The sequence below is a fragment of the Homo sapiens genome, chromosome 9 (genome assembly GCF_000001405.40).
Source record: "Homo sapiens chromosome 9, GRCh38.p14 Primary Assembly".
NCBI lineage: Eukaryota > Metazoa > Chordata > Mammalia > Primates > Hominidae > Homo > Homo sapiens.
The window spans coordinates 123,129,931-123,142,582 of NC_000009.12; the positions used below are offsets into that span (position 1 = coordinate 123,129,931).

Here is a 12,652-nt window from a genome sequence, read left to right on the forward strand (position 1 = left end):
AAGAGGAGACAGATCAGAGGCCAAAAAAGAAATTAATGCTTAAAAAAGGTTAGCTATCAAATTTATTCCAGAAAACAGAAGCTGTTTGGCTAAGGCTGCAGTTCTAAGGATTATACCAAAACCTCCTTAAGAAGAAATGAGACCACAAGTACTAACTAGGTCATTCATCAGGACACTGGAGTCCTGATTCTAACTTCACCTTTTCCTAGCAAGGTATCTGTGAATGGCACCTGTTATTTAACCTCTCTGAGCTTCAGTGTTCTATGTACAGTAACTGAGTTGCCAGGGGAATTTAATTAAATAATACATGTAAATATACTGACAACAGTCCCTGCTGCACAGAATATACTGTGCAAATGGTATATAACCTATTCATAATCTAAAGGGACCTAATCTGAATCTTGTCTCGGCCATAAAATAACTTCATTTTTAAAAGCTTCGGGACACAGGCCTTTCAGGGAGGTCAATGCAATGACACAAGAGAGGAGTCACTATAGAGTAAAGCCTGGCAACGAGTGGCCATAAACGGTTCCTTTCATGATTACTGCCACTGGACCATAGCCATTTACCACTCTAGCAGGTGGTAAATGGTCCGCGGCAACAAGAGACGTGACCAGATTAAGCCCCAATAGAACACATCATCAAAGACAAGAAAGATAGTTCATCTCTATAACCCGCCTATTATTGTGAATGAAAGCTTTGCCCTTTCAATAATACACTGAATAAGGCTAAAATTATTAAATATCAGTAGAAATAGTGAGACACACAGAAGACTGTCTTAATTTTAGACTCATAAACTATGTCACACCATAAGAAATTCATAACCTTTTCCTTTTCCCCCAATGCTCCAGCTAAAAACCCTAGGAGCTGAGATATCCTTGAAACATCACTCTTCTTTCTATATATTCAATACACCAATTTTGCTTCCTTTATATTCCTCCCATCTGTTCTCTTCTGGTCTCCCCCTTTCTTCTTCCCTGCCTCCAGTAGCAATACTATCAATGTCTCTTGCCTGGGTTAGTAGTCTTCAGTAGCCCTTTTTTAACTGAGGCATAATAGATGTACATAGTTCCGGGGTTCGTGTGATAATTTAATATACCCATGTAATTTATAAAGATCAAATCAGTGAACTTAGGATACCCATCATCTTAAATATTTGTCCTTTCTTTATGCTAGAACCATTTGAACTCTTCTAGCCAGTTTGAAATGTACAATACATTACTGTAAACTATATGCCTTCTAACTGATCTTGTCAATGCTCACACCTATCCCTACCTCCTGTTCTTCACACTATAGAAAGACTAACCTTCACAAATAAAGTCTGATCTTGTCACTATTCTCCTAAGAACCCATCAAGACTTAACACTGTGCTTAGGGTTCTAAGACCAAAATCCAAACAACGGCCTCCAGGTCTGGGACTGAGTCATCCAGCTTTAATTCACATCATTCCCCAGTCTCTCCACTTCTGCCACTCAGTGCTCACCACATTCCACACATTCTGGACTTCTGCTTCTTCAATTGAGCCAAATTCCCCAACAGCAACACAAGGTCTCTGCACATGCTGTTCCTTCTGTATGCAACACTCTCCCATCCCAGTCTTCTTTGAGTTAACTCCTATTCATTCTTCAAAGCCCAATTCAAATGTCCCTTCTTCTGGGAAGCCTCCAGGGACCCACTAAACTAGACCAGGTTTCTCTGTTACATGCTCTCACAGCAGCATGTCCTTCTTTTTCATCATACTCATCTCAGTTTCTCGTTGTTATTACTTGATTAATCTACGTCTCACCCTTCAGACTGTAAGCTGCATGAGAACAAAATCCATGTCTGCTGTGTGCCAAAGCAGGCACACTCCTTGAGCAATTTACCTACTAGGATTATCTTCTAGAAGAATCATTCCAAAGCCACATCATAAAATTTCCCAAATGGCCTAGTCTTATTCTTTCTTAGAGGAAAGCACAAAGTGAACCCTTAGGGATGTTACCTAAAAAACAATGACTGGATAAGACCCAATCTTCATGACAATTTTATCTTGATCAGTATCTACAAGTGGTTTACTTGTCCAGTTTAAAGTACTATACTTTCAATATTGTGAAGAACTTGATTTTAACAAGACAGCTGGATAATCTACTGTTAAAATGACATAAGAATTAGAAGGGAAGGCAGAGAGAGGGCATTCTCCCAAATCTTCTTTAAGCTATGTGGTGGAATGGAAAGAATATGAACTTTGGAAATGCAAACACCTACATTCAAATCCTTGCTCTGTGGTTTAGTGGTTGCTTCACCCTGAGCTAGCTGCCTTATCTCCCTAAATACCAGTTTCCTTCCTTGGAAAATAATTTCTACCTGATGAAACACTGTGAAGATTAAAAACAAATTAAATTAAATTAAATTAAAAACAATTTAATAGGTAAAATTATTTACATGAAAATATCTAGTATATATAGTAAGCTCTGGATAAATTTTTTTTCCTTTGTGTATTTCTTTAGCCTTTGATGGTTCCCAAACATTAAGTTTAACAAACACTAATAATGCCAGGCTTCACCCTAATTAAGTAACCTCTTAGCAGTTTTTCTCTCCTGTTATACCCAACCTGTCATCTATGTCCTCGATGAAAACACCCTGCTCACCCTTCTCAATCTATGGAATATCCTTTAATTCCTTGTCAAAATACAGTCCCACAACCAAATGCAATTTGCTCATCTGTCATCTCCCTCCAGGTAGCCTCTCCTCACTCAGCAGATTCCAGGAGAACACCTATGACATTCTGCCAATTCTCTACTTTTAAATTTCTGTGTACATTCATGCCTGTGTTATATTTCCACAAACCCTGTACAACCTTAGAAAATGCAGGAGATGCTATTCTTTGAATTTCGGCCCAGTAAAGGGGGCCAATCTCTTGCAGTTTGTACTATACCTGGAGCTATGTAGCCAGGAGCAGCTGTCGCCCCAACAAAAGCTCCCCTTGTTAGAGTTCCTCTTCCTCTGCCCCGAACAGCTTGGACTGCTGCAGACACAGCTGTATTCACAACGCCCTTTGCCTGTTAAAATAACACATTTTCATTACTGAAAGAAATAAGAACCATTTTATTTCTTCTATCATCTCTTCAACGCACAACAACTATGAGAAACTGTGAGCACGTGGGTGAGACCATGAGCTGTCTGTGATCTTGAACCTTCAATTTATCATCTGAAAAACAAAAATGATACCTACCTTACAGAGATGTTAAGAGAATATGCAAATAACTTCTTTTTGCTTGAGGGTTATCCAGAAAGAGTTCATTTTCTACACCAAATTTCAGTAATCAATTTATATCCAAAGTCATTTTAGGCCTTACTAAAGTAATCATACACACTTGGTACCTAGGTTCCAAATCCAGTAAATTATCTGCCAACAGGCAGAAAATATCTGAGCAACTAATTACATAGAATTAACTGCGAATCTGAGTGGGGCTAGTGGGGGGAAAACATAAAGGACTAAGACAGGAGGACCAAAGATGAGGATGCCAGTTCCTGCTCTAAGTAACTGTGACCTCAGGAAGGTAATATGATTTCTTGGAGCCCGATTCCTCTGCTGTTTGTGTATGTATGTATCCACTACTAATTATCTTTTTTTGGTTTTTTTTTTTGAGACGGAGTCTCGCTCTGTCACCCAGGCTGGAGTGCAATGGTGCGATCTCGACTCACTGCAACCTCCACCTTCCCAGGTTCAAGTGATTCTCCTGCCTCAGCCTCCCAAGTAACTGGAATTACAGGCACCCGCCACCACACCTGGCTAATTTTCGTATTTTTAGTAGAGACAGGGTTTCACCATGTTGACCAGGCTGGTCTTGACTCCTGACCTCAAGTGATCTGCCCACCTCAGCTTCCTTTCAAAGTGCTGGGATTACAGGTGTGAGCCACCGCACCTGGCCCCATTATTAAATAAATAAATACCACTTTGAAAGCCCCTTCTTTCTCTAAAATGCCATAATCTATGGAAATCTCCCCACTAATTAAAAATGTGGATAATGATACCCACTTTGTTTTCCTTAGAGTTGAAACAGTAACCGAGAATTATAAAATGAGAATAATGATACTTTGTTTTCCTTAGAGTAGAAAGAACAACGAGAGAACAGATATAAAAACATTCTAAAAATACAACAGATAACACCGGGAGTAACAGTAAACAGGACTGTTGAAAAACCTCTTTTCCAAACTAAATTTTAAGAAAATCAAAAGGTGTCTAGTTTCAAATTGAATATTATACTTATAGAAATGCAACAAAAACTCAAGCTAGAAACAATTAAGATTCCCCACTATAACCAAGGTGCAAGAAAGTGGTGCAAAGCCTCAAAGCGTACTCTATGATAAAGTCAACAGTGTCTAAGAAGCTGAAAGAGTCAGAATACATACACATTGGTTTATCTCACTTTGAAAATGCAACATCCTTTATTCTTTCCAGGATAACCTCTACCTCTAGTATGAATGGGCAGGAACCTCTACCTCTAGTATGAATGGGCAGGAGACAGTTTCAAGGTTAACTGTGTCATGCACAGGGACTGCCGTTTTTGTTTTTCTCTGAAATAAACCAACCCACATATCCAAAATAGATTGCTTCTTGGCCGTCAAGCACATTGAACACATGAGTTTTATAGCTTATAGTATGGAAAATTTCTAAAAATGAGTGAACTTCATGTAGACATCTTTCTTTTTTTAACATGACTTAGTCAAAAGTAGTCAGCAAGCAACAATCTGGCAGTAGCAGAATGATTCCACACAAATCTAGCTCATGTCTAGTAGAACAAACTTAACTACCTAATAAATATTTGCACATGGGCTTTTTAAACTAAAATTAACTGACCAAACATAAGATGTAATATGGGAAAAAACACCATAAAACAAGCTCATAAAACAAGAATCATCTTTCAACTAATTTAGAACATACTTTGTTCTATGTTTACCAGAAGATTTTAGAAAATAAAATCTACTTGTTTTCGACATGCGTAATTTAAAGGCTTTAAAAATTTTTTCATCTCATTAAAATAAGTTTTCTCTACCTTTTGGATCCTAGAATTTAAGCAGTGTTTATTATAGCAAATACAAGAAATTTAAATGAATACAAAACAAATTTTGAGATGGATACAATATGCAATAGTAAAATGTCCATGGCCTTTGGGAGAACTACCTGGTTCTAGAAGGAACCCCCACCATCAATTAGCTGTGTTACCACAGGCAAGTATTTCCATTTCTTTGGGCCTTGTTTCCTTACCTGTAAAATAAGATCAATTCTACCCTCCTACAATGGACATAGCATACATAATGGAATCTAAATATAATGTTTAATGTAGAATTAAACAATCTAAGCTTCTTTTTATTACGTTAAGCATTTTTAATTTCTATCATATAATATATTCAGATGTTATGTTATTATACCAGTACTCTCTATGAGGCACAATGTGTCTTATATTTACTTACTCTTTCCCTCACTATCAGGCATATGATGTATGACTAGAAAATGTTTTTTGAATGCATAAATGAATGGATGGAAGAATCTCATATCCACAAGCATGTAATTAGAGGGCCATCTTTTCTAAATACCTTGCTAAGATCCTGGACATTCAGTAGCACTGACATTCCCAGTGTCAGTAATGAACAGACACAATACAGCGCCAAATTTTATGCGGTCGGCAAAGGAAACCCAAAATAAACAATGCAAAAGCACGAAACTGCAAAGGAACTGGAAGAGCACCCGCAGGCTGATGAAAGCAAAGCCCCAGGTGCTCCTGGCAGCTTCCCCAAACTAAACTGCTTAGACCTCACTAAGGTCCAAATCACCTCAAAACCTGACTTCATCAAGAATGACCTCAACCCTCCAAATAATGCTAATAGCCTCATATATACATATAAATATAAATATACATGTACATATATATTTTGTTTAGAAAGTCCATAGAACATGAAACCACTAATCAAATTTATATTATTCGTGACCTAACCCAAAGCAAAGGTCACCAAGTCCAAGAAAAGGAAACAACTTCAGAAAAAGCTAAAGTGCCACATGGACAGGAAAGAAAATTTAATTCCTCTAACATTTTTCACAGGTTCTGCAAAGGTTTAATGTTTACTCATACCTGAGGGATAATCTTCTTTTTCTTATTATTTGCCGCATTGGGTCCAGAAAACAGTTTCTCCAAGGCAGCTAAAGCTGCACTCGCCTTTGCCACTTTCTTATTTGGACCTGCGCCTCTGAATTTCTGTCCATCTACTTCTACCTACAATCAAGAATAACACCTTGCAATTATCCCATGCAATTCCTCTATGTCCTTTTAATTTAAATAGATTATGACACAGAAAACACCAAAAATCAAATAGTGCCACAAGAACTGACTCAGTCTAAAACTTTACATTAAGTTCAGGATATCCTATGTCTTTGAGAAGAAAGATAAGGCTGGCTTGTGTCTGGGTACACACCTCCATTACAAAGCGCTTGTCATGGCTTCCACCAGTCTCTGAGATGAGTTCATACTTGAGACCTCTTCTTTTTTCATTGAGCTCCATTACAGGGTTTTTGCCACTTGCTGTGAGGATAGGGCCCTGAGTTCTTACCTATAAGAGAAAGGGAATCTGAAGGTTCAATCAAGTAAGATTTTAGAATATTACATTTCTTATTAATACAATTATGCTAAGAAGGAGGCTCAAAAATTCTACTTCAAAGCACTCAGGGGCTAGAATGAGTCACCTCTTTACACAAATGGCAAAATATCATTAAAGCTGTAAAAACTCTACAAGCAGTAAACATTGCAGTCATCTGGCCAGCCTTCCTTCGAAGCAGTATTCAAGACCAATCAATGCAACCTCACCACTGTGGGCCACTCCAGGCTCTGCTCTGTAGTGTTCGTGATCTAAGAATAATACTCTAAATTACTAATAACGAGAATAGAACAGTTTGGATTCACGTGATGCCTAAGGGTTCATCATTTTTCTTCTTTAGGGTTAGGAAGAAATAACTCTCAATTTGGGATGTTAGAGGGTAAATGTTCCCATACACCTCTCAGTCACTCTAAACAGATTTAAGGGGACCTAAGGTAAAAACAGTTGGCTATAGACTATGGATTCTGAAATTTTAAAATAACAATAAAGGCAGTCACTCTCTGCCCTCAAGGAGCTAGAGTGTAGTGGGAGGGACAGATATCATCACTGCAAAATAACGTATGTTAAAGAGGAGATACATGCTATGGAAATAACTGATTTGAGGAAGGATAAGAATAGAAGTAGTGAAATAATTCATGCAAGAGCATGAAGGTGCAAATGAAAACAGAGGCTAGCATCAAAAGCAAACTAACAAATAAACCCACAAAATACAACTATAATTTTGAGAAAGGAGAAACCAAAAGATAGGGCACTTTTTGAGGTCAGAGATCATGTCTGTAATTCCACCACACAAGAAATGCTGAACACACAAAATAAATGTCCAAAAGTGTTAATTTTGTTTTTTTTGTTTGTTGTTGTTGTTGTTTTGAGACAGAGTCTCGCTCTGTGGCCCAGGCTGGAGTGCAGTGGTGCAATCTCGGCTCACTGCAACCTCCACCTCCTGGGTTCAGGTAATTCCTGCCTCAGCGTCCCAAGTAGCTGGAATTGCAGGCACCTGCCACCACACCCGGCTAATTTTTGTATTTTTAGTAGAGACAGGGTATCGCCACGTTGGCCAGGGTGCACTCAAACTCCTGACCTCAGGTGATCCGCCTGCCTCAGCCTCCCAAAGTGCTGGGATTACAGGTGTGCACCACCATGCCCAGCCCAAAATATTAAGTATTACATATATAAACCTAATGAAAATCAAGATTCTCTTAGTAAAGTATTCCGTGCAGTTTGGATAAGTGGTTGATGCTTCAGACGTGAAACATCAAAGGACAATTTTTAAGGACAAGTTTAAAAACATCAGTAACATCAATAAACATCTCTTCTTGATGAGTTTTTATAATCTGCATTTTTTGAATTTCAAGGCAAATTTCTAGTCACTGTCTTTAAAAGATAATGAGTGATTTTTGAAACTAGGTCTATAGTAATCACTCTATGCTTTCCAAACCTGAAATCATGTCTACAAAAATGAGTCGAGACATAAAAATATCTGAATTTTAATAAAGTACTATTATTTTAAACGAAGAAATAAATAAGGGCTTTGTTTTCTCCTTCCTTCCCACCATTACTACAATATACAGAAACAAAGTATAAATGTAGTCACTACCAAAACTTTTTATGTCAGTGTAGCTGCTACTAGTGCAGCCCACACTGCTCTCTCCCTTTCTAATTACCTTTGTACTTAATGGTCTGGACCTCATAATTAATGAGCCCTTTTTTCTTTTAGTATATGTAACATTGTCAGCAAAACAACATCTTGACCTGTGACTGCCACCTGTGAATGACTGGTCCCTCTGAGCAGCCAGCCATGACATCATCTGTCCTCCACAGCATCACACAAAGTGCCAAGTGTGGCTTTCTCAGGCTTCAGCCCCATCAATCCTGTCCACACTGGCCCACTTGGCACTTCTTAAACATTTACTTTCACAACTCAAAGTCATAACACCTCCTCGTCCTTCAGTCCAGAATGCTTTCTCTTCCCCACACGGCAAAGCTCATCATCTGAAGCCTTGCTCACAGTGGACTCCCTTTGATTTTACATGATTGTGTAAGTTATGTCTAAGAGTCTCACAACCCCTTCCTCCTTCAAGATTTGACATTATTATGTTCATTTTGCCATCACAGAGCTTATCGCATTATATTACCATTTGTCATAAACACCTCTTTTTGCCCTTTTAGCCTGGGAGCATCTCCAGGCTCTGCACACAATTTCTGAAACACCTGGCACTAAGCAGGTATTAAAAGGGATTTATGGACTGAAAAAATTAGTTTATTAATTAAGTCCTTAATAACTACTTATTCATACAAATGACAAACTAAGCCTTTTTTCTAATGTAAGCTCTTGCTGTTACTTTAAAGCTAATGTTCTTTACATAGAATGCAGTAAACATGGGTTCCATGAACTCCCCAATGTACTGTGTATACTCAGTACTTGGATTTCATCCCATTCTATTATCTGCGACAATAAGTTCCAGTCGGGACTTAATTAGGGTCTGAGATACATACTGTGTCAGGCTATGCCTTCCTTCAGGGCTGGACCAACTAAATGATGACCCAATGTACCCCGCAGCTTAGCACAAACTTCAAATAATCCCAATTTCCTCCTCTACATCTTGTAGTTTTCTGCCCATCAGTTACTGCTGATACTCTTGGTATATTCTGAAATATTGGAAGCAGCTTCCATGGCCAGCAACCAGGAAACACTAGTTAAATTAGGGTATATTCAAGTGTTGTGCAGTTTACAGATATTTTTAAAGTGAAAAAAATCAAGATGTAAAACTGCATGAAAAGATGACTGCCTTCACAGAGATTCATGAAAAAAACTGGATGGAAATAAACCAAAATAATAATTATGTCTGTCTCTGTAATTTATGTACAGGTTTGCATATGCTTTTGATTTTATTTATACTTTTCCACATCTCTCAAATTTCCTACAATGCACATATATGTTATTTTTTTTCTGAGAAAAAAATAAGTATACCTCTAAGGTACTGGAGGTTTCAGTTGTAGAATTTCCAGTATTATTGCTTGAGTTTGAAGACACTGTTTCATTTTTACTTTCATTATCTGATTTTTCATCGGAACTCATACATTCAATATCTGCATCAAAGCCTGTTGGATATCCCATTGCCTGCAATACCTGTACAAATTACATTAAAATGCAGTTTTATTCAGACACGAGAAACCAGAGAATAGACAAAATATTGAGAACAAAAGTTTCAAATCCATAGTGTTTGAACCATAAAACACCTTGCAGGAAGAGCAAGATGGTACTAAATCTGTAAGTCCTTGGTTAAATATGGTATACCTACCAGGGTAGCACCATGGAAAAATGGGGAAAACCTCCTCAGGATAATTGAGTTTAAATACAGGATGACAAATATAAACCTGATGCTATTCCTAGTTCATTTAATTTGGAGGTGAGAGGTAGAGAAAACAAACAGGATAGCTAGGTTCAAACCAATAGGATAAGGACAGAAGTAGCATACTATAAAAAGTACCCTGGTCTAGAAAGGAAAAAATCTGAGAGTCTAATCCTGTATTTCTCCTCTGGCCCTCAATTTTCCAATCTACAAAACAGGAAGACTATACTGGTTGACCTCTAAGTTATATGACTCAATCCATTAGGAGAAATTGGCCCAGAAAGGCAATCAAGAAATTTTTTATCTTTGAACCAACTTGCCTGTCAATTACAAAATAACATCTAAAACTTTCTACTTTGCTTCCAACATAGACCACAATCAAAACTTAAAAGATTCAGTCTCGGCCAGACGCGGTGGCTCATGCCTGTAATCCCAGCACTTTGGGAAGCCAAGGCGGGTGGATCATTTGAGGTCAGGAGTTCGAGACCAGCCTGGCCAACATGGTAAGACCAGTCTCTACTAAAGATACAAAAATTAGCTGGGTGTGGCGGTGCATGCCTGTAATTCCAGCTACTTGGGATGTTAAGGCTGGAGAATTGCTTGAACCTGGGAGGCGGAGGTTGCAGTGAGCGGAGATTGCGCCACTGCACTCCAGCCTGGGCAACAGAGCAAGACTCTGTCTCAAAAAAACAAACAAACAAAACAAACAAACAAACAAAAAAAAACAAGATTCAGTCTCTAGGTTTATTCTCTATACTAAATAAGCCAGGAACAATTTTAGTCTTGTATTTCCATCCCTCTCTCTCAAGGGCTGATTATGGCTACCTCCAACGTTCAAACTTCTTATACTTTCAGTCGATCCCCAGGATTTGTCTTACTTTTTTGAAATAAAGCTTTCAGAAGAATGTGTATATGTGTGTGCATGATTGTGCACAGGCATGCTCACACACCTCCACACACGTGCCTTTTAATACCTTCCTGATTATACTGCTTTTTAGATGTTTACAAGAGAATATGTTCACTTTTTGTAAGCCTCTTTCAAAGGAGGTTGATATAGCTTTGTCACTAATTAGAGGTTTACATCAGAGGATATAGGGACAGATTCCTAAAGACCCTTGCATTCGTTTCCATTTTTAACTGTTTTAAGTTGCTGAGATTTAAAAGCAACATCATATTTCTTTATAGTAACAACTGTACATAATAGGTGCTCCAAAAAATGGTTATGGTGGCCACACAAATGAGAAGCCAGCCTTTATAAACAACTGCATCTTGTATAAAGGATTTTGCCAATATAAACAGTGTTACCCTAAACCAAAAAATCGACCTACATAGAAGTCTGTACCAAGAGAACTCGAAATTAATTCACACAATTCATATGGAGAACTTGGCATTCTTATCATAAATAAAATGTCTTGTATTTGCTTGGGAGTAAAGCCAAGAACGCTTTTTTAACATCTTAAGTTCTAAAAGTGCTCAGGTAATACTTTACACTAAGCACATTAACATCATTTGTTTATATACTTATTAATATTTTATTTTAAAAACACCTTCTCCACTGTCTGAGTCCTGTAAATATGCTCTCCCTGAGAAATCTCATCTCCAAGAACAGCTATCATTCCGAATTAACACTAGCCAACACAGGCTGCAAGTCAAAGCCAAACATCACAAATAAGTTTGATTTGTTTATTCCAATAAAAACTAAGGACAGTCATCTTTTCTCGACTCAACATAGACAATAAAAATAGGCTAATATAAATTATTTAATACTTCTCTCCACCCTTTTCTCACATATCAGATTCACTTATTATTATTACAGCAACATATTTCAATACATTTACAAATATTTTATATAACTGGTGGATTATATCTCAGGGAAGTGTCCAACACAGTGTAACCAAAAAATTCAAATCAAATCATTTTTTATGAACAGTTATTCTAACAGTATTTACTAGCATATGCTAAGAAGTCAAAAAAGCAGGGAGTTCTCAGACCTCTGCAACTGATAAAGATTCTCTTAACCAAACTCTAGACAGGATCCTCTGAGCCATGTTTTCATCAAGGCCCCATCCTTTGGCCTTGTCCTTAAGAGCCATGTTGTAGCAAGAATCCTGCTAAATTGGTTTAGCCAGAATCCCTCACCCTCAATATTTAATCACCCTCCATCACCCTTGGTATGTGATCAAATTTCCTCATCCCCCATTGATATGGTTTGTGTCCCCACCCAAATCTCATGTCAAATTGAAATCCCCAGTGTTGGAGGTGGGGCCTGGTGGGAGGTGATTGGATCATAGGGGCAGTTTCTAATGGTTTAGTACCATCCCCTTAATGCTGTCTCATGGCAGAGTTCTCAAGAGATCTGGTTGTTTAAAAGTATGTGGCACTTCCTCGCCCTTCTCTCTTCCTCCTGCTCGGACCACATAAGATGTGCCTGCTTCCCCTTCCACCATGATTAAAAGTTTCCTGAGGCCTCCCTAGAAGTCACTATGCTTTCTGTACAGTCTGCAGAATTGTGAGCCAATTAAACCTATTTCCTTTATAAATTACCCAGTCTCAGGTACTTCTTTATAGCAGTGCAAGAATGGACTAATACGTCCATCACTGCCCAGGTGGTATCTGATCACCCTGGCCTGCTCTGAGCAAGAATCCTAATGGGTCCCGTTTAGCCAGAAATC

At 38.1% G+C, this 12,652-nt stretch overlaps 1 protein-coding gene across 11 annotated transcripts in view; it reads right to left on the reverse strand.

Moving 5' to 3' along the window:
• STRBP (spermatid perinuclear RNA binding protein) overlaps positions 1 to 12,652 on the reverse strand; it is a 159,093-nt gene that overhangs the window by 20,437 nt on the left and 126,004 nt on the right. For all 11 annotated transcript variants that reach the window (XR_007061327.1, XR_007061326.1, XR_001746347.2 and 8 more), the window contains 4 exons: positions 9,599 to 9,757; positions 6,451 to 6,585; positions 6,111 to 6,251; positions 2,915 to 3,038 (listed from right to left, as the gene is read on the reverse strand). Coding sequence is in view for 7 of the 11 variants with exons in the window: in NM_001376109.1 (NP_001363038.1) it covers positions 2,915 to 3,038; positions 6,111 to 6,251; positions 6,451 to 6,585; positions 9,599 to 9,757 (559 nt within the window). In the remaining 4 variants the exon portion in view is untranslated. The remainder of the gene's footprint in view (positions 1 to 2,914; positions 3,039 to 6,110; positions 6,252 to 6,450; positions 6,586 to 9,598; positions 9,758 to 12,652) is intronic.